The sequence below is a fragment of the Homo sapiens genome, chromosome 7 (genome assembly GCF_000001405.40).
Source record: "Homo sapiens chromosome 7, GRCh38.p14 Primary Assembly".
NCBI lineage: Eukaryota > Metazoa > Chordata > Mammalia > Primates > Hominidae > Homo > Homo sapiens.
In genome coordinates, this window is record NC_000007.14 from 43,658,849 (window position 1) to 43,681,914 (window position 23,066).

Below are 23,066 nucleotides of genomic sequence, written 5' to 3' on the forward strand. Positions count from 1 at the left end.
CCACAGGCTCGGTATCTTCAAGAAGCAGAAGGCAGGCTCGTGAATGAGGTGTGGAAGAGGAGGCCAGGCAAGAGGGCAGGGTCTTCATCATGCAGGTTTTGTAGGTATGGTAGGGAGTCTGGATTTTACTCAAAGTGTAAGAGAAGATGCTGAAGGTTTCAATCAGGAAATGACACAGTATGACTTGCTTTTTGTTAAAGATTTCTCTAGAAAGGACAAGAATGGAAGCAGGGAGTCCAATTAAAAGGCTCCATGGCAGAGCTGGTGGTGGCTTGGACTAGCTGGTAGCAGCAGACCTGCAAAGAAGTAAATCCACTTGAGATATGAAGCAGAATTAACAGGACTTGTTGACAAATTATTAACAGAAATTGGGGAAAGGGTGAAGGACAAGGCGCATAGCAGAGTGATTTCTGAATTTATCAATATTATCCTTAAACCTCCTTACAAAAAACTTGAGCATTGAAAACTACCATGCAGTTGGAACTTAGTAATGATAAAGAGTCTTGATGGAAAGTTTTAAATAGAAAACCATGATTTCTAAATCATTAGTCATGACATCTGCTTGAACAAATACATTTCAAGGCCATTCTCTTGTAGATTTTAAACCACAGCAAGAAGGTATTCAGTACTTTCTGGCATAAAAACTTCATGGAATGGACTCTGATTCATAACCATTTTGCAAATGAATATGAGTAGGGCAAACCCTATTAAACATTTACTTCAGCATTCCTATTAAGAGCCTCCATTTTAGAAAAAAACATTTATAAAAATAAAACAATTTGGTATCAGTGACTACAAAAGGAATCTGGGAGGTTTGCTATTGACTCTTCCCTCCCTAGAGTCCTCCCTTTATTCTCACAGACTCAGGTGTTTGCTTTCTATTTCTCTGGAGAGTCCTCTCCACTCCCCTGCCTGTTTTACATAGCCCCCCATTCTATATTAGGGGCTGAATTGTGTCCTCCCAAAATTCATATGTTGAAGCCCTAATTCCCAGGTCCTCAGAACATCACAGTATCTGGAAAAAAGGTCTTTAAAGAGGTAATTAAATTAATATGAGATTTTCAGGGTGCATCTTAATCCGATAAGAAATCTGGACTCAGACATACACACATACAGAGAAAAGACTGTGTTAAGACAAAAGGAGAGGGTGGCATCTACAAGCCAAGGCAAAAGGCCTCAGAGGAAACCAACCCTGACAACACCTTCATCTTCAACTTCTACCTCCAGACCTGTGAGAAAATATATTCCTGTCATTTAAACCACCCAGTCTGTGCTATTTTGTTAATGACGGACCTAGCAAATTGATACACTCTATATACCCTTTCCTACTCCCCGACCCCAAGAACATCTCATTCAAGGGCATGAATCTAGGTCTACTAAAATAATCCCCACATCTCTATCTCCAGGCCAGGTGTCCCTTCTGCACTTGAAATTCCTAGTAAATACTTCCACAAGTCCCCATGTGAGCTCCTGCCCTGACCCTCCTCCACTCCACACCAGGTCTCCCCTTCCTGCATTCCCTACTTGGTGAACGGAACCAACCCAGGTGCCTAAATCAGATACCTGGGAGTCATCCTCATAAAAACAAAAGTGGCTTCCATATGTTTACTCACATGCAAGAAAGAGCTTTGCATGTATCTTATCAAATCTTCTTAAGGGTCTTATAAAGCAGGAATTACTCTCCCTATTTTGTAAGTGAAGAAGCTGAGATTTGGGTTAATTGTGAGAGCCACTCCTTTAAGAAGTGACAGAGTCAGGATTTGAGCCCAGGTCTGCCTGACTCCAGGGCCTATGCTCCTCACCTAAATTACCCCCAATCTAATCAGGCCCCCTCAAACCCATACAATCTGTTTCCTAAATATCTTTGGATATTTTCCACCTTGTCTTTATCCTCCAAATGCCCTAATTTGGCCCCTAAGTATCTCTTTCAACCAAGGGGTTATCAAGACTGCTCTGCCTTTGGCCTCATTCCTCTCTAGTCTAGAATCCTTCTAATACAGAAAACTGATTGTATCCCATTCTTCAATGGCTCCCCATCCTATTCAGAATAAAATCTAAGCTTCTTTGCATTACACGGTCTTACTGCCCAGTTTCCTCACCACATTCTTAAATCCCAACCACCCTCCTGAGTTACACTGAGCAGAACATGGTAAGTGCCACAGGCCCTGGCACTTCCTGTCCACCCTGGCAACCCTAACCACCCTTTAAGTCTCAGCTCAAATGCTAATTTTAGTGTTAGAAGAGGTCCTTGGCTTACCAAGGCAAACTTAATTTTCTTTCACCTATACTTTCACAATAGTTACTTTAGTATGCTATGGCTGTTAAATTACCTAATTCTCAATAGACATTTAACTACTTTAAGGCTAGGATTGGGTTTTCCATTTTAGAATGCCTCATATCTAACACATAGAATAGGAGATCAATGTTTGTGGCATCAATCTAACAGGATGTTACTAGATTTGTGGTAGGTAAAGAGTGGGATTCTACTAAGAAACAGACCTTTCCAGGCCGGGTGCAGTGGCTCACGCCTGTAATCCCAGCACTTTGGGAGGCCAAAGCGGGCGGATCACAGGTCAGGAAATCTAAACCATTCTGGCTAACACAGTGAAACCCCGTCTCTACTAAAAATACAAAAAATTAGCCAGGCGTGGTGGCGGGCGCCTGTAGTCCCAGCTACTGGGGAGGCTGAGGCAGGAGAATGGCGTGAACCCGGGAGGCGGAGCTTGCAGTGTGAGCCGAGATCGCGCCACCGCACTCCAGCCTGGGCGATAGAGCGAGACTCCATCTCAAAAAAAAAAAAAAGAGACATTTCCAGAAAGAAAATACCAGTTTCCTAGATCACAATCCAGGGTTTCTATCTAACTTCAATCACTCTTGGAGTGTGGTCCTTGTACCTCTGGAGGGCCTTGAGACCATTCCAGGGTGAACACAAGGTCAAAACCATTTTCAAAAAAACACTAATATGTTACTTGTCCTGAAAAGGAAAAACTGTATCTACCACCAAATAAATAAGACTTTGGCTAATGAGATTCATGGTGAAAGTAATGAATATGAATTTTTGTTATTTATAATAAAATGTTTTACCATTTTAATGATCTGCATAAGTTAGTAAAAATCAGTATTTTTTAAATGACCAAGGCATGGTATTTCAAAATCATGCAAGAGAAATTAATTTTAATGTAACAGAATACAAAAAGGTTTACTGATCAGCCTTCAGATTACATATGACAATTAACCTTTAAGAAATTATCACTTGCCAAGTTTTGGTGTTGTATCAAAGAAGATCTACAATTATCTGAAAAGGCTATTAACATGAAAAAGCTATGAACATGCTCCTCCCTTTTCCAACTACGCATCTATTTGAGGACAGATTATTTTCATATATTTCTTTTTTATTTTGAGACAGAGTCTCGCTGTGTCACCCAGGCTGGAGTGCAGTGGCACGATCCTGGCTCACTGCAACCTCCGCCTCCCAGGTTCAAGCAATTCTCCTGCCTCAGCCTCCCAAATAGCTGGGACTACAGGCACCTGCCACCACGCCCAGCTAAATTTTTTTGTATTTTTAGTAGAGACGGGGTTTCACTACGTTGGCCAGCTGGTCTTGAACTCCTGACCTCGTGATCCATCCACCTCAGCCTCCCAAAGTGCTGGGATTACAGGCGTGAGCCACTGCATCTGGCCTATTTTCATATATTTCAACCATAAAAATATATTGCAACAGATTGAATGCAGAAGCAGGTACATCTGTCTTCTATCAAGCCAGACATTAAAGAATTTTTGAAATAATGTAAAACAATGTTATTCTCACTAAATCTTAAAATTTTCATAAAGATATGCCATTTATGTTAATGTTACCTGGGTTTATTTTCTCAAAATGAATAAATATTTTTTCAGTTCTCAGTTTTAATTTCTAATACAGTAATAGCAATAGATAGAACCCACATAAACAACAGAATGTAAAGGGGCCCTGACGCCAAAATATTTGAGAATTGCCTCTCTAAGGAACCAAGAGACCCAAGGTCTCAAAACTCAGGCCTATCTCAACTGCTCTGTTATTACTATTTTTGTCATAAATCAAGTGCCATACCAGTATGGATCTGTTTCTAAAGTCTTGATATAGTTTGGGTATTTGTCCCCCAAAATCTCATGTTTAAATGTAATCCCCAATGTTGGAGGTGGGGCTTGGTGGGAGGTGACTGGATGATTGGGGTGGATTTCTCTTGAATGAGTTGGCACCATCCTCTTGGTGCTATCTTCACAATAGTGAGTTCTTGCGAGATCTGGTTGTTTCAAGTATGTGGCACCTCCTCCAGCTCTCTCTCGCTCCTGCTCTTGCCATATGATGTACCTGGTCCCACTTCACCTTCTGCCATGAGTAAAAGCTCCCTGAGGCCCCTGCCAGAAGCTGAGCAGATGCTGGCACCACACCTGTACAGCCTGCAGAATAATGAGCCAATTAAACTTCTTTTCTTTATAAATTACCCAATCTCAGGTATTCCTTCATAGCAAAATAAAAACAGCCTAATACAAGTCTAGTCTATGCCACTGATCTATTTGTCAATCCTTGTGACAATACCACTCTGCCTTAATTATTTAGATTTATACTAATTCTTGATATCTGCGATAACTCTGAATTTCAACACAGATTTACTACATCAAAAACTAAAGACAAAAACTTACGGGCTCGTGCCTGTGGTCCCAGCTACTGAGGAGGCTGAGGCAGGGCAAGAGGATCACTTGAGCCCAAGAGTTTGAGACTACAGTGAACCATGATCATGCCACTCCACTCCAGCCTCTGCGACATAAAGACCCTATCTCAAAAAAAAAAAAAAAAAAAAAACACACACACAAAAAAAAACCTAAAACCCACTGACCATCAACTCTCCATTTCCCCATCCCCCAAGCCCCAGCAACTACCATTTTATTAATATCTTCTATGAATTTTACTACTTTAGATACCTCATTTAAATGGAATCATTTAGGCCAGGCACAGTGGCCACACCTGTAATCCCAACACTTTGGGCGGCCAAGGCAGGCAGATGGCTTGAGCTCAGGAGTTTGAGACCAGTCTGGGCAACATGGTGAAACCCCATCTCTACTAAAAAGAGAAAAATGGATGATCCCTTAAGCCCAGGAGTCAGAGGCTGCAGTGAGCCAAGATCGTGCCACTTTACTCCAGCCTGGGTGACAGAGACCCTGTCTCAAAAAATAAATTTTTTTTAAAAAATGGAATCATTTAGTATTTGTCTTTAGAAAGAGAGAGAGAGAGAGAGAGAGAGAGAGTCTTGCTATATTGCCCAGGCTGGATTGTAATAGCTATTAACTGCTGTGATCATGGCATACTACTGCCTCTAATTTCTAGGTTCAAGCAATACTCCTGCCTCAGTCTTCCAAGTGGCTGGGATTACAGGCATGCAACACCACACCCGGCTCCATTATTTGTCTTTTTGTTATGGCTTATTTCACTTCGCATAGTATCAAGGTGACCAAATTCCCTTCCTTTTTTAGGCTAAATAATACTGTGTCCATATATTTTTAAATCACATAAAATCTATGGTGTTTTAAATCAGGACAGTAGTTACCTCTGGGGAATATGAAGATAGTGTCTAGACATCACATAAAGAAATATAGAATATAAATAACGTTTTATTTCCTGACCTGTGTGGCGATTACAGAAGCATGTTCACCTTGTAGTAATCCCTGTTCCACCCTTAGAAAAATCACTAACTTGACACTAAATATTGTTCTAAATTTATGAACAGGTGGCACACTGCTGTAATGCCAGCTATTTGGGAGCCTAAAGTAGGAGGGTCACTTGAGCCCAGGGGTTCAAGGCTTCAGTGAACCATAATCATGCCACCATACTCCAGTCTGGGTGACAGTGTGAGATACTGTCTCTAAAAACATAAATACATTTATGAACAGCTTCAACAAGCCTGCTCCAGAGCTAGCCATCAGCTAGGATCAGCTCTCCCTACAAGAATATGCTATAAAGCAGAACAGAGCTCCTGTCAGTTTAAATCAACTGACATTTATCATCCTGCTTACATTTCCTTTATGTCTTCAGTCTTTTACTTTCAAGTACTTCTAAATTCCGATGTTCTCACATGACTTTTCCTTTTATGCAAGCATACTGGAAGTCTGTGTAGTCAAATAGGTGAATTGCTCATTTCAAAATTATTTTGAAACTCTGTCTCAAAATAAAAAAGAAATATATGAAAAATAGGAGAATTGCTCATTTCAAAAAACATTAATGTGTTTTACATGTTAATGGCTTTTGGTGGAAAAAAAAATTTCATCCACTATAACACCGTTATTACTACTGTGAACTACAACTTCAATAAAATGGGGAAAAAAACAGACATTTTCCTGAAAAGATTTGAGCTTTCAATCTAAATCTGATGTCTTATGAGATCACAAAACATACTGCTCAACATCCCAAATTATACACAGTATTTAACGAGCAGTATAGAGCGTCAAAATTAAGAAAATCAACTATTAATCCAAGGATCTGCAGTTGTGAGGAAAATAAATCATTACTATTCCATGCTTTAAAGAAAATACAATGGCTTCTTCTGCTATAAACAGGAAAGGTATTGCTTAGGTAAACATTCACATACATCACTCTTCTGTACTTTTCAGGAAAAAGTACAAAAGCAGTGCCCTATTCAGATGTGTGGTTTCACAGAACTTAAGAAGAGTTCTGCAAAACCCAGCTCAAGCAGAGTGTATTAATTCGTTCTCACACTGCTATAAAGATACCACCTGAGACTGAATAATTATAAACAAATGAAGTTTAGTTGACTCACAGTTCCACATGGCTGGGGAGGCCTCAGGAAACTTCCAATCATGGCAGAAGGGGAAGCAGGCACCTCTTCATGGCGGCAGGCAGGAGAGAAAGTGAAAAGCCCAGAGGAAAGCCATTTATAAAACCATCAGATCTCCTGAGAACTCTCTCACTATCACAAGAACAGCATCTAGGAAACTGCCACCATGATCCAATCACCTCCCTCCCTCCACACGTGGGTATTACAATTCAAAATGAGATTTGGGTGGGGACACAGAGCCAAATCGTATCACAGACAGAGTAAATTTGTCCTTTCTTTTGCCTTTTTGTTCTTTTGGGACCCTCAATGTGCTGCATGATACCCACCTCATTGGTGAGGGAGATCTTCAGTCTACTGATTCAAATGCTAATCTCTTCTGAAAATACCCTCACAGATACCTCCAGAAATTGTGTTTAACCAGCCATCTGGACATCTTTTAGCTCATCTTTTAGCCACTTAAGATGTTCAATCTTCTTTAAGTTATATACTTATACTAAAGCTGACACACAAAAATAACCATCACATGGGCTAATTACAAAATAAGCCAATTGGCTTTGGGTTGCCTTGCAATGAAGAGCATGGTAGAAGCACTACACTGTTTATACGGACCCAAGATCCAGTATAAAATGGCACCCTTAATTTTAGGGATCTGTCTTTGCCTTCAGCTGTACCTGCTTATTAGGCCCTAAAAAATGCATGCTACCTGGCCTTGTTTCTCTAAGGGCTCCACCCTAAAGCCAGTAACCCTATTAAGAAACTGGCAAATGAAAAATCTTAACAAGGGCTCAATCTTCTATATGTTTGTGTTGCTATATATGTGTTGTGTGTAATGTCTATAAAAAGAGCTCTAATTGGCTTAAAGAAAAATAAGCACTTAAATATTTTTTAGTTCACATGACTTCAAGAAATAAAAACAGTCTTAAGAATTATTGGTAAAATGCAAGTGTCGTCAAAATGCAAATAGGTGGTCTAAATCATACAACTTAGATACTAGGTTTGCTAAACATTCCAAGATTGTATACTGCCTGCTTTACAGATAGGTAAGGCTGGGACATATAGAGCTGGATGCTGAAAAGTCAAACTTTTATCTGCATTTCTCTCTGGGTCCTAGGATCCACACCAAGTATATAATTAAAACTGCTTACTAACCAGATTTTTCACCAAAAATAAAAGTTGCTAAAAGTTAACAGTGAATATTAATTAAACTCAAAAGGGTATTATATGGTCTTTTCACAAATTGGACATTGAAATAAAACCATGGCAAGCAGGTCTTAAGACACTAATCTGCCCTTTAGTAAAAGGGTTATAAAAGGCTTGTGAAAATTTCACCTCCCAGTCAAATTGGTTATGATTAGAAGCAATGATCTATAAGATTTCATAGAAACAAATTGGGGTTAACATTAATAAATTAATGCAAGGGTAAACTTTGGCTTTGAACAGGATTTCCATGTCATGGTAAAGGCTAATGAAAGGTTTTTGCCTTTTGAGTCATCATTTGGCAATCTGGAATTCTATTTCATAACATCAAATGTTCTAAACCTCTAACATTTAACAGGCCTCCCAAAATCAAACTTCAAGTTTCAAAACTGTCCTTCCTGATGCCTGGCTTTTTGGATGGTTCAGAAGGTCCCTGAAACATTCAGAAAAGAGGTAAAAAAGATTATTTGACATGTTTAGTCACATGAGATTGCCAAAATATTTCCAATCTTCTTTAAGTTATATTTTGGTGAATACTAATATATGTTCCCAAATTGAATGGGATTTCTAAAATTCTAACGTCTAAGTATATGCTATCAATCATAATTAAGGGTAAAGTTATTGTAAACCACAGAGATAAATAAACTTTTGTCTGACATGTTTTTAACTGTATCCTGGAAATTTTGTCATTCACAGACAATTGTCTTGCTTTGTTCCTTCTCAAAAGACGGTTTATAATCAAGCCATATTAAGAACTTTAACAGATGTTCTCAAATGCAGATTCTTAATAGCCTTGAAGATTGTTAACACTGGAATAGAGGAAGAACATACAGGACTCAAAGAACTGACATGTTCACAAATATCAAGCAAAACAAGAGCTAATTAAATGGACTGGACTCAGAAAGTTAAAGCCACCTTTTTGACTTTCGCTTGCAATATTGCTGATCCTTGTTTTGTTTTTCAGAGTCCAGGAAACTTATTTTAACTATTTATGGCCTTTAATAATTGAATAAGGTATGCTCCTGTGAACAAAATTTGGAGCATGTTTCTTTTTCTCTGCCTGGTTCCTCCAGAATTTGGAAACTATCTGTGAGTACTCTTAACTTACAGCAATATAATTGTTTCCATCAGTGCAATAAGAATCCATTTTTCTTTGTCGACAGGACACAATTGGTAAAACTGGTTATTTTACCAAGGCTTTGACTGAAAGGGTGTGTTTCCCTTTAAGGAATCAAGCTTGACATGCAGAGCCAATAAAAGCCCCTTGGGGAGTACTGGCCTCATACCTTGTCTACACAGTCCATGAACAGAGATCTTAACCTGTCGTCAGTAAAGAATGTCACTTTCTAACAGGTCCAGCAGCTCCAAGTTTATCTTGGGACCTCAAGAGGAGATCACCCAACTCACAGGTATTTGAGGATACAAACCCATGTGGATGGCTGGGCTCAGCTTTAAAGGTCTTATCTGAGATTCCTGTGGAACAGAGTTCCATCAAAGCCAATCCAAAAGGCCTATGTAGAAATAACCACTCTTGCTGCACTTTATGCAAATAATCAGGCCAAGTATAAGACTAAAATTTATTCTACAAACAACACACACGGTCCTATCATAATTTGTTTTTACAAAAAATGAGGACTGGAGAGAGAAATTGTGCTCCAAAGCTTATCATACATTTGTCATTAAATCCTAGTCTAATTGTTTTTAAGCTTTTTGCCTACATTTTAGACTAACCCTGCTTATTCCTGTGAATCAAGTGGCGATCTCCTACAGCTTGGATGAAACAAAATGGGATGGATAACATAAAAATCTGGATCAATATGCTGGTTCTGGGCAATTATCCTGCAAATTCTGCCAGGTAATGAAAGTGAGTAGGGTGCCCATAACCCTGAGGTTTCTTTGTTTGGGAAATAAAACCAAGGAACTTCATAAATCCCCAAATATCTTGGCAAGTAAAATTTTAGATGAAAATTATCTACTATACCACACTTGTGGGAACTGCTATACTCACTCTACTATTTGCAATAGGGTTATACAGAGTAGCACCTTCTAACTGAAATATTGGACAGAGAACTTATGTCTTGTATTAATATTTGGACCCTGTATACTCAATACTATAACTTGAATTGTTTCCTCTCACCTAGAAGCAATCAAACTCCAAATAGTGCTGCAAACTAAACCACACAGGAACACACCTTTCTTCCAAGGACCCTTAGATCAACCCCAGGAGAAGCCCTAGCTGCTGTTCCCCATTCGATGCCCCTTCTCAGCAGGAAATAGCCAGAAAGAGTCATCACCCAAAACCCCTTAAGAGCAGTTATGGTGACATCTCCACATGGGGGGATGTTATAGGAGTTTATTAAGAAATTATTTTAGGCAGCTAGGAAAAGGGGTCCTTGGGGAAGTTTTCATTTCCTTTAAAGCGGCTCCAGAAACGTTTCTTGTCTAGCAAACCCCAGCTCTTAGAGCCGAGTCAGCAACCTTTGATATGCAAATACAGGCCATTAGAAACTGGGTCCACCCAAACATGGTGATTCCTGCCACCTTCTTCCCCTCGCCTCACAGGTGCCTGGCAACACGGCCGCCCCCACATATCCCCATATGTGTAGAGCATCATGGCACCCTGCATTTGCATATTAAAAAGCTAGGGTGGGAGGGCCAGTTTTTTCCGCGGGCTACGTGAGTGACATGCCTGGTCAAACCAATCCCCTGAGCGCTATGCAAATCAGGCACCACCTCCTCTAGCCTCCTCATATAAGCAGCCACTTTTCTGACGCACACAGGGTTTTCTCTTTGTTCGAATCGCCCCCTCCCTTTATCTTTGTACAGGGGAGCTGTTTTCTTCTTCCTTCCTTCTTTCTTGCCTATTAAACTTTTCACTCCTTAAAACCAAAAAAAAATTAAAAAAAAAAAACCATCACATCAAATAACTTTACCCTACCCAGGACTTGCCCAGGTTTCTGTTCTTGGGTTAAAATTTAAAATATTGGTTCACTCCCTGACGGAAACAGATGAGAGAGGTGCTCAGTGACTCATTATGGACAGAATGAGGGCTGAAATTACTTGAGTGAGGAAGGAAAGGAAAGCGGGGCCCTGGCTGAGGTTAAGTACCAAATAGAAATCTGGGCTGAAGCAGGGAGACTTAGCTTGAGATTCTAGATAAAAAAAGAAGTGTAACCTAGAGTAACACAAATATAAAGGATTCCACTCTTATTTCCAAACTATTGTAACAGCTCTGAATAACATGGATATTTTAAAGGTTTATGCATATATTAATGGATGTGTATAAAACATTCAGGCCAGGCACAGTGGTTCACGCCTGTAATCCCAGCACTTTGGGAGGCCGAGGCAGAAGGATCACTTGAGATCAGGAGTTCAAGACCAGCCTGGCCAACATGGTGAAACATGATCTCTACTAAAAATACAGAAAAAAATTAACTGGGTGTGGTGGTGGGTACCTGTAGTCCCAGCTATTTGGGAGACTAAGGCAGAAGAATCACCTGAACCTGGGAGGCAGAGGCTGCAGTGAGCCGAGACTGCACCACTGCACTACAGCCTGAGCAACAGGGTGAGACTTGGTCTAAAAAAAAAAAAATTTTCATCATAAACTCAGTCCCCAAAAGTAATTAATCTATTTATTCATTCATCACATACCCACTAAACACGTACTATATCTAGATGGGAGAGACTGGCAAAGACAGACCTTGACCTGAAGAAGTGTTTAGCCTAGTCGGGTAGATTACACATGCATATAAAAATATTAACTATAGACATGGCAGGAAGAGCTAAATGCACTAAAAGAGACATAGAGGGCTATGTGAAGAAAACAATGTAATGCCCACAAACATATACTTTTATCCTTCTCTAATTAATGTTCCCAAGTGTTTTATATTCTTCACATATCTTTTCATTCTCCACTAAAATGTAATCTGCAAGGTCAAGGGAGTCTCTCTCTTGTTTACTGCCATAACTCTGCAAGCTAAGGTAGTGCCTGGCTCACAGGATGTGTTTCATAATCATTTCTCCAATAAATTATCAGTAAATTTATTAAAATTAAAACTGCCATTTAAAAACATCTGATGAGAGTTCAGAAGTAAACCCTTTTATCCAAGGTCATTTGATTTTCAACAGGAGTACCAAGACAATAAAATAGAGAAAGAATGAATAGTCTTTTCAACATATGATGCTGAGACAACTGGATATCCACATGCAAAATAATAAATGAAGTTGGAACCCTTCCTAACACCATACACAAAAATCAACTGAAAATGAATCACAGACCTACATGTAAGCACTAAATTCTAAAACTCCTAGAAGAAACATGAGAATAAGTCTTCATTAGCTTGGATTAGACAATCGTTCCTTGATATAACACCAAAAGCACAAGTGACAAAAAACAAATAGATAAATTGGACTTTAACAACATTAAAAATACTTGTGACACCATGAAGAAAGTGAAAACAACCCACAGAAACGGAAAAAAAAAAAGCAAATCATATATTTGGCAATGGACTTGTATCTAGAATACATATAAAGAACTATTGTTAACTCAATAATTAAAAGACAACCCAATTAAAAATGAACAAAGAATCCCATTTATAATGGCCACGAAAAAATAAAGAAGGTATCTAGGAATATATCTAATGAAGGAGGTTAAAGTCTCTACAAGGAGAACTACAAAACATACTGCTCAAAGAAATCAGAGATGACACAAACAAATGGAAAAACACTCCATGCTCATGGCTGCAGGCCATGAGATAAATATTTTTCTACAACGAGAAAAAATATTTGCAAACTACGTGATATGGTTTGGCTGTGTCTCCACCCAAAACCTCATCTTGGACTGTAATACACATGTGTCAAGGGCAAGACCAGGTGGAGGTAATCAGATCACAGGGCAGTTTCCCCCATGCTGTTCTCGTGATAGTGAGTCTCATGAGATCTGGTGGTTTTATAAGCGTCTGCCATTTCCACTGCTTGCACTCATTCTCTCTCCTGCTGCCCTGTGAAGAAGTGCCTTCTGCCATGATTCTAAGTTTCCTGAGGCCTCCCAAGCCACGTGGAACTGTGAGTAAATGAAACCTCTTTTCTTTATAAATTACCCAGTTTTGGGTATTTCTTCATAGCAGCATGAGAACAGACTAATACACTATGCATCCAACAAAGGTCCAATAACCAGAATCTGTAAGAAATTGAAACAATTCAACATGCAAAAACAACCCCATACAAAGAAGAGCTAGTATGGAACAATACTACCGAAATTGTTTGAAAAAATTGAAGGATGGACTCCTCCCTAACTCATTATTTGAGTCCAGCATCATTCTGATACCAAAATCTGGCAGAGACACAGTAAGAAAACTGCAGGCCAAGATCCCTGATGAACACAGATGCAAAAATCCTCAATAAAATACTAGCGAATCGAATCTAGCAGCACATCCAAAGCTAACCCACCACCATCAGTAGGCTTTATTCCTGGGATGCAAGGTTGGTTCAATATATGCAAATCAATAAATGTGATTCATCACATAAACAGAAATAAAAACAAAAACCACATGATCATCCCCAAACTCAAAGGCTTTCAATAAAATTCAACATCCCTTCATATTAAAAACCCTCAACAGGCCAGGCACAGTGGCTCACGCCTGTAATCCCAACACTTTGGGAGGCCAAGGCGGGCAGATCACGAGTTCAAGAGATGGAGACCATCCTGGCCAACATGGTGAAACCCCATCTCTACTAAAAATACAAAAATTAGCTGGGCATGGTGGTGCACACCTGTAGTCCCAGCTACTCAGGAAGCTGAGGCAGGAGAATCACTTGAACCCAGGAGGCAGAGGTTGCAGTGAGCCAAGATCACGCCACTGCACTCCAGCCTGACAACAGAGCGAGGCTCCATCTCAAACCAAAAAAAAAAAAAAAAGAGAGAGAGACAGAAAGAAGGAAACAGACACATATACCAATGGAACAGAACAGGGAACCCAGAAATAATGCCGCACACCTACAACCATCTAATCTTTGATAAAGTTAACAAAAACAAAGAATGGGGAAAGGACTCCCTGTTCAATTAATGGTGCTGAAATAATGGGCTAGCCATATACAGAAGATTGAAACTGGACTCCTTCCTTACACCATATACAAAAATCAACTCAAGATGGACTAAAGACTTAGATGTAAAACCTAAAACTAAAAAAACTCTGGAAGATAACCTAGGAAATACATTCTGGACATAGGACACGGCAAAGATTTCATGAAGATGCCAAAGGCAATTGTAACAAAAGCAAAAATTGACAAGTGAGATCTAATTAAGCTTCAGAGCTTCTGTGCAGCAAAGAAACTATCAACAGAGTAAACAGACAACCTACAGAAGAAAATATGTGCAAATTATGCATCCAACAACGGTCTAATATCCAGAATCTATAAGCAACTTAAATCAATAAACAACCCCATTAAAAAGTGGGCAAAGGACATGAACAGACACTTTTCAAAAGAAGACATGTAAGTGGCCAAGAAGCATATGAAAAAAAGTTCCACATCACTAATCATGAGATAAATGCAAATGAAAACCACAATGAGATACCATCTCACAGCAGTGAAAATGGCTATTATTAAAAAGTCAAAAAATAACAGATGCTGGCAAGGTTGCGGAGAAAAGGGAACACTTACATACTGCTAGTAGGAATGTAAATTAGTTCAGCCATTGTGGAAAGCAGTTTGGCAATTTCTCAAAGAACGCAAAGCAGAATTACCATTTGACCCAGCAATCTCATTATTGCGTATATACCCAAAGGTATAAAAATTGCTCTTCCATAAAGACACATGCACACGTATGTTCATCACTGCACTATTCACAATAGCAAAGACATGGAATCAACCTAAATGCCCACCAATGGTGGAATGGATAAAGAAAATGTGGTATATATACACCATGGAATAATATGTAGCCATAAAAAAGAACAAGATCATGTCCTTTGCAGCAACACAGATGGACCTGGAGGCCATTATCCTAAGTGAATTAACACAGGAACAGGAAACCAAATACCACAGGTTCTCTCTTCTAAGTAGGAGCTAAACATTGGATATGTATAGACACAAAGAAAGGCACAACAGACACCAGGACCTACTTAAAGGTGGAGGGAGGGAGGGAGGAAGGTAAGGACAGAAAAACTACCTATCAGGTTCTATGCTTATTACGTAGGTGGCAAAATAATCTGTACATCCAACCCCTGTGACACAAAATCTACCTATATAACAAACCTGCACATGTACCCCTCAACCTAAAAGTTAAAAACAAAAAAGGGAGTTTACAAATAGCTTCCTAAGTAGAATTTTTAAGTCTTCTTTCTCCCCCACCCAATAGCTCCAACACTTCAGATTTACAGATTATAAACCTTCAACACATATAAATAACTAAGATGGTCTTTGATAAAAATCAAAACTATTCTTAAAATTCAACTCTGAGTAAACTTTCATTCTGTTTCATGTGTTATATTGTCCTGTTTGCCTGCAAGTAGAAACTGTGTGTTACTTGTCTCATGTTCCATATAATACAACGTTTGGCAAGTGGTAAGCATCTAATACACAACAAAGCTTACTTCTTTCTTGCTCCAAAAATGAAAATGGCTTTATAAAACTCTATAATTTTGAGGAAGAGTTGGAGAAATCACCCTAAACATATAAAACTGCAATGATATTACTGTGGGCAATGTGATGATAAACCACTCCTTGTGTTAGAAAAGAATTAACATAGCAACTTGCTTTGTCCATAATTTTAGTCTGATGTAATCCTAAAGTTGGAGGGTGTGATTTGTGACAAATGGACCTGAGTCAAGGACACGATTTCCTTGATGAATTGAGTTTATTCAGTTAGTCACAGAGGGAGTAAATATGTATGACTCAGCATCAAGACTTATCTTCAGGACTTTTAAGGACAAACTTCCTATAACTACTCTTATTCAAACCAACTCTGTCCTCTTCACAGCTGAACCATGGCACAGGTATTAGGTATTTTCAAAACAGCTGGTAAAGTTGATAGACGTGCTTGGCTGAAGGTAATTTTAAAGGTTAAAAGTCATCATCCAAGTTTGTTTTCAACAGATATTACACTTTGTGTTTTTCTTAGAAACCCTGAACACAGGAGTAGCCCTTCATTTTTTGTTCTTCCCCAACACAAACAGATGACATTTACAATCACAAATACTCTGTCAGGCTATAGAATAAATAAGTGCACTCACTGTAACACCATCACTTTCTCCTCTGCTCAAGGAAACATGTCAAAACTATTTCAAGCAATAGCAAAGACTTGGAACCAACCCAAATGTCCAACAACGATAGACTGGATTAAGAAAATGTGGCACATATACACCATGGAATACTATGCAGCCATAAAAAATGAAGACTTCATGTCCTTTGTAGGGACATGGATGAAACTGGAAACCATCATTCTCAGCAAACTATCCCAAGAACAAAAAACCAAACATCGTGTGTTCTCACTCATAGGTGGGAATTGAACAATGAGAACACATGGACACAGGAAGGGGAACATCACACAGGAAGGGGAACATCACACACCAGGGACTGTTGTGGGGTGGGGGCAGGGGGGAGGGATAGCATTAGGAGATATACCTAATGCTAAATGACGAGTTAATGGGTGCAGCACACCAACATGGCACATGTATACATATGTAACAAACCTGCACATTGTGCACATGTACCCTAAAACTTAAAGTATAATAATAATAAAATAAAAAAAGAGTAAGTGTAAATCCACCCTAATTTGTAGCATAGAGGTATATTAATTACAAACTTTAATTTTTACATGTAACAAATTACCTGCTAAACACCTGAGGACCATTCACTACTCTGAATTGTAGAGAGATGTCAAGATTACACTTTGAAGGGAAAAAAGGTGCTACTGGTTCAAGAGAACTTACATTAAAAAATCTTATCAAGGGATCCTATACTGAATTCTAACATCTAACATCTAATTCTAACACTAGATTAACATCTAAGCCAGATGTTAATCAATGGCTCACTTGTACTATTTAAATAAAAGAATTATGGTATTATTCTGATTCCTTTAATATTAAGAGACCCTTAACAGACCCCTAAAAATTACTACCCATCGGTGATAACTGCTTCTTATTCTCACTTATGGGAATCCTATCCCTGCTCCCTCATAAACAAAGTAGCTACTAATAAAGAAATCTCGTAAAAGAAATACAACTTAAAACATTAAATTTAAAATGTTAGCAGCATACCATTTTAAGAAAGTACGATTAGTATCCACTTTGTTTTCAAAATTTTAAAAATAGGAAAGTTGCCCCTCCATCAACCTAATTAAACATGATTAAATAGGTGACATTTTAAATAGAAGACCTAAGCCTTACAGATTTCCTACTGGGTGAAAAACTTACAAACAATAAAAAGAAATAAGGTTTACTGCAGCACTATTCACAATAGCCAAGATATGGAATCAACCTAGTGTCCAACAACAGAATAATGGGTAAAGAAAATGTGGTATATATACGCAATAGAATACTATTCAGCCACAAAAAAAGAATGAAATCCTGTCATTCACAGCAACACAGATGGAACTAGAAGACATTAAGTGCAATAGGCTAGGACAGAAAGTTCACCACCACATCTTCACTCATGTGCAGAAGCTAAAAAAAGTTGATCTCATATAAGTAAAAAGTAGAACAGAAGATTCTAGTGTTCTAGTGTTCTAAAGCACAGTAGGATGATTATAGGTAACATAATATATAGTTTCAAACAGCAAAAAAGAGGATACTGAATGTTCCCAACAAAAAGAAATGATGTGTTTTAGATGATGGATATGCTAATTACCATGGCTTGATCATTACACATTGTACACATGTATCAAAATATCACATTGTACCCCATAAATATGTACAATTAATATGTGTCAATTTAAAAAAAAAAACTTCAGAACACATCCAAAGTTGGCTGAAAAAAATAACTGAAAATTTTAAACTATATGGTCAATGGTAGCAAAGAGAATTTATCACTAAGAATTGTGTAAGAAAGCTCTACACTCTTAAAATAATAGAGGTACAGTATGCATTAGTATTTTTTCTAGCTTAATTTATTTATGATACTATGGTTGTCCTTGCCAACTGTTAAGTCCCCTTGGGGTGGGTCTCTTCATCCTTTGTACGATGCCTAACAGATCAAAATGCTTAATGTTCCACTTTCTTGGCCTTAAGAATTCTTTGCTTTCTATATGTTTTTCTTGTAAGCATTTTCAGATTTCTCATGTTGAATATTAGAAGAAAGTTCATGGAAATACTATAGAGAAAAATACTCAATTCTTTCTAAACATAACTTTTACAGCATTGGTAAAGAAACTGTGGAGTCTTTAAAAACTACATTATTCCTCAACAAATGCTCTTTTAAAACATCTGGGAAAGAAACCCATTTCAGTTAACAACATAAAAGGAAGGACAAACTCTAACACCGTTTATTTAATATATGTGGTGTATGAACTTATTTAATGACCAAAAAAGGAAAAATTATTATTTAGTAAGTTTTGGGATAATAAAACAGAGGTTTGCCAAATAAAAGAGAGAAACAGGAATGCTTTAATGATTCCCATATCCTTGACAAAAAATTGTATCTTTGTTCTGTAGCTGGGCTCAGTGGCTCACGCCTGTAATCCCAGCACTTTGGGAGGCCAAGAAGGGTGGATCACCTGAAGTCAGGAGTTCGAAATCAGCCTGGCCAACATGGTGAAACCCCACCTCTACTAAAAATACAAAAATTAGCTGGGTGTGGTGGTGCATGCCTGTAATCTCAGCTACTCAGGAGGCTGAGGCAAGAGAATCGCTTGAATCTAGGAGAAGGAGGTTGCAGTGAGCCAAGATCATATACCACTGCACTCTAGCCTGGGTGAGAAAGGGAGGCTCTGTCTTAAAAAAAAAAAAAAAAAAAAAAAAATTGTAATTTGCTCCTCTAACAAGTCTTTTAATACTTAAAAAGGTTTATAATCTAAGATGAAATTCAGCCTACTGAATTTAGTTATACAAAATATATACATATATAGATACAGATATGTGCTAATGAGCTGTACCTTTTTCCCATGAAAATTGCAACCAAACAGTATTTAAAAACTAACAACACTGACTACAGGCAATTTCCCTCCTAGAGGATTCAGGTAGCACATGTGTTCTCATCAAGTTGATTTGAAACACTAAATTTTTCCTATTACTAATAACAGTGAGTTGGGTTTGAGAGATGAACCTTCCTGTTGAAAACAACTTAGTAATTTGTATAAAGTATTTTAAAACATCTTTTCAAAAGAACTGAAAAATTACAAGATAGTAAGAAATTACCAAGTAAAAACTAAAAAGAGAATTCAACAAATAACACTGGGAAAATAAATATCCACATGCAAAAGTATGAAGTTGGACCCTTAGCTTACAACATACACAAAAATTAACTCAAAATGGATCAAATACATAAACATTAGGGCTAAAAGTATAACACTCTTAGAAGAAAACATATGGGGAAAGTTCTGTCACATTTGATTTGGCAATGATTACTTGGATATGATATCAAAAGCACAAGCAGCAAAAGAACAAAATAGACAAAACTGGACTACATCGAAACTGAAAACACTATCAACAGAGTTAAAAGGCAACCCACAGTACTGGAAAAAATATTTGCAACTCACACATCTGATAATGGACTACTATATAGAATATATAAAGAACTCCTAAAATTCAACAACAAAAAATAGGCAAATTCAAAAATGGGAAGAGGATTTGAACAGATGTTTTTTCAAAGAAGATATGAAATGGCCAATAGGCATATGAAAAGATGCTCAACATCATCAGAAAAACACAAATCAAAACCACAATAAGACACCACTACTTCACACCCATTAGAATGGCAATTATTTAAAAAAAAATAGAAAATAACAAATGTTGGCTAGAATGTGGAGAAACTGTAACCATTATGGCATTACTGGTGAGAATATAACATGGTGCAGCTGCTGTGGAAAATATGGCAGTTCCTCAAAAAATTAAACACAGAATTACCATATGATCCACCAATTCCACCTTTAAGTCAAAGAAAAATCAAAAGGAAAATTTATAAGTATCTTGAGGGCCAGGCGTGGTGGCTCACGCCTGTAATCCCAACACTTCTGAAGGCCAAGGCGGGTTGATTACTTGAGGTCAGGAGGTCGAGACCAGCCTGGCCAACATGGTGAAACCCCATACAAAAAATTAGCTGGGCATGGTGGCGTGCGCCTGTAGTCCCAGCTACTGGGGAGGCTGAGGCAGGAGAATCACTTGAACTCGGGAGGCGGAGGTTGCAGTGAGCCGGGATCGCAGCACTGTGCTCCAGCCTGGGCAAGAGCTAAACTCCATTGCAAAAAAAAAAAAAAAAAAAAAATGCTAAATTTTATGTTATATTTTACCACAAAAAAAAAAGTACAAGGAGAATGAAAACTCAGCATGAAAAGCAAGTTCTGAAACCACATTTCCTCTAAAGTATCTTTATTGGTCATGGGAAACTAGAACCTATGTTTTAAAAGATTCTCAGGGTGACCAAGATAGAAATAAAGCTGAGGGCCACACAACAAGGGCCATCTAATCTGAGATTCTCCTCACAATAAACTGGAATCCTAAAGGGGCACATCCTCACAGTGAGAATGACATGAACTAGATTATGGTCTAACATCACACTGCTTTTCTCAAACTTCAAACTTGGGTCTGTAATCATCCCCTGGACTAGAATACTCCCAAGTTTCGGTCAGACACAAGTGCACACTGTCTAAGTACCTACGCTGTGGACTTAAAATCAGTCTTATAAATAATTCTTCAAATGCAATATCCAGGCCCCAGTCAAGGATAGTGGAGTATGCAAGAAATGTAGGAATAAGAAGCAGCAGAAAGGAAAAGGGGTCAGGAAAGAACCTTAGAAAGTGGATTATCAGATGCAGATTCTATGTGTTTTCTGTGACAGAAGAAATAAAATGACAGGTTGGAAACATTTAGCAGAGAACTAAACACTATAAATAGTAACAGATTTCTAAAAGAAAAAATAGAGACTCTAGAACTAAAAATAAAATATAACTCCAACTAAGAACTGAATGGAAAGGTTTAACAGATTAGATTCACCTTCAGAGATAATAAATAATGGAAAGACAAAAGACAAGTCTAGAGATATGCTGGAAGTAGTTTGAATAAGCTTTCAAGAACCAATTATGTGTAGCTCTTCCTAATTCTGCATCAGTAAAGTCAAATTGGTTGCCTGAAACTACCCTTGATAAGGATATTTATACTATGGAAATCAACAAATGCTACAAATCAGGGCTTCTTTTTCCCCGGAGAGCCATTTCACCAGCACACACTTGGAAGTTACCATACAGAATTTGGGACAGGGAGACAAAAAAAAAAAAAAAAAAAGTAAGTAGGGAGGAGAGCATAAGAAATGTAAAGGGTATAAAAGAGGGCCCAAAACGTCTTTAATTAAAGTTTCAAAAACTGAATAGAGAAAAGAAACACTTTATCAGTTAGTGGCTTTTTCCAGAACTAATTACCAAATCATAGATTTAAGAAGCCAAATGAATGCATTGCAGGATAAATAAAAAGAAATCTGCAATGAAGTAAGACTGACTTCTATATCATTAGAGTAGCCTATGTGTTTTTAAATCTATGAGTTTTTCCCTTTATCTCCAAAAATTATAAATGCTACCAGAATTGAGACAGACAGAGATTTATTTTCATTAATTTTGCCTACAATAAGCCTACGCTGTGGAACTACAGCTTCAGAACTTTTCAGCTGAAGTGGCTGGGCCATGGTGGCTCACACCTGTAATCCCAGCACTGTGAGGGGCAGAGGCAGGAGAATCACTTGAGCCCAGGAGTTCGAGACCAGCCTGGGCAACATGGCAAAACCCCATCTCTACAAAAAATACAAAAGAATTAGCCAAGTATGGTGGCGTGTGCCTGTAGTTGCAGCTACTCGGGAGGCTGAGATGGGAAGATGGTTTAAGCCCAGGAAGCAGAGGTTGCAGTGAGCAAAGATTGCCCCATTACACTCCAGCCTGGGCAATATAGTGAGACCCTGTCTCTGGGGAGGGGGGTACTTTTCAGCTCAAGAAAGTTTCCTTCTGCTTTTATATTTTGCTTCTGTTCCATTTATTCTGGTTTCTCCATTAGGAACTTATTCATCAGTATGGCACTTCTCTGTCTTCAGTATCTGTCATTTTTACCCTCATCATTTCTGTCATTTTTTTCTCCTCCTAAAAAAATCTCAAATAAATACTATAGGATTGACCCATTCATCGTATATAGGATTGACTCCATTTTCTGCAGGATCAGCTCTGCTATGTGCAACTGCCATTACAGATTTTGGCTATTGCATTTTTAGATTGTTGTCACTGTTTTCTTTTGGTCATCTTTATTCCAGCTCCTTTTAAAATCTCATTCTGATTTTTTGTTATAACTTTGTTTTGGTTTCCTAGAGGTCATATTTTTTGCTCTGTTACTAAGAATAAAATCTGACACTTCTCACAAATATCTTTTGTACATCGTAATAAATCATATTCAATATTATTTTTAAGATTTTCTTCCGCATCTTTGGGGAAATGGTTCCCTTCTTTTACGGAGATATCTTTCACACAGATTTCTTTCATAGTCCCCATGAAAATCATCCTTGCAAAAATAAGGTACAATTTTTAATGGCAGGGTATTGTAGACTGCCCTTGATTCCCATCACTATCAATGTGGATGGTGAAAATTTGCTCACACTTAATTTGGTTAGGTTTTAAGTGTACAGGCTGACACACACAGTCCATGGCTGAATTTATAGTACTAAGCAGGCAGTACAACCAAGTTGGGCTGATTTAAAATCTATTATTCCTTTCTTCTCATATTATGAGAATTCATTCCTACATCAACAGGAACATTCTGTAGTTTGTCTTTTAACAGAAAATAAATGATAACCTGAAAACCCAAAAGCACACTCCTTTTAAGGTTCTTCTTAACACCACATCTACTGCTACATCACATCCCT

The 23,066-nt window shown here is 38.2% G+C and overlaps 1 protein-coding gene across 84 annotated transcripts in view, besides 3 other annotated features; it reads right to left on the minus strand.

Moving 5' to 3' along the window:
* Positions 1-23,066, minus strand: part of COA1 (cytochrome c oxidase assembly factor 1) — a 121,067-nt gene that overhangs the window by 50,392 nt on the left and 47,609 nt on the right. For 23 of the 84 annotated variants that reach the window (NR_146942.2, NR_146944.2, NR_163914.1 and 20 more), the window contains one exon: positions 6,810-6,874. The exons of the other annotated variants lie outside the window; for them this stretch is intronic. The gene's annotated coding sequence lies outside the window, so the exon portion shown is untranslated. Of the gene's footprint in view, positions 1-6,809; positions 6,875-23,066 lie in introns of those variants that run through there. 84 annotated transcript variants of the gene reach the window in all.
* Positions 11,005-11,054: a silencer, noted in NCBI's record as "silent region_18125". NCBI's record gives its function as "represses an Ori minimal core promoter by ATAC-STARR-seq in GM12878 lymphoblastoid cells {active_cell/tissue: GM12878}" and the evidence as "EXISTENCE:reporter gene assay evidence [ECO:0000049][PMID:35858748]".
* Positions 15,843-15,987: an enhancer, noted in NCBI's record as "145 bp enhancer 272 fragment used in the MPRA reporter construct; PK_construct_3136". NCBI's record gives its function as "activates an SV40 promoter by MPRA in HepG2 cells {active_cell/tissue: HepG2}" and the evidence as "EXISTENCE:reporter gene assay evidence [ECO:0000049][PMID:23512712]".
* Positions 15,910-15,920: a transcriptional cis regulatory region, noted in NCBI's record as "NFE2L2 motif; enhancer activity is reduced when this motif is scrambled". NCBI's record gives its function as "necessary for full MPRA enhancer 272 activity {active_cell/tissue: HepG2}" and the evidence as "EXISTENCE:site-directed mutagenesis evidence [ECO:0005528][PMID:23512712]".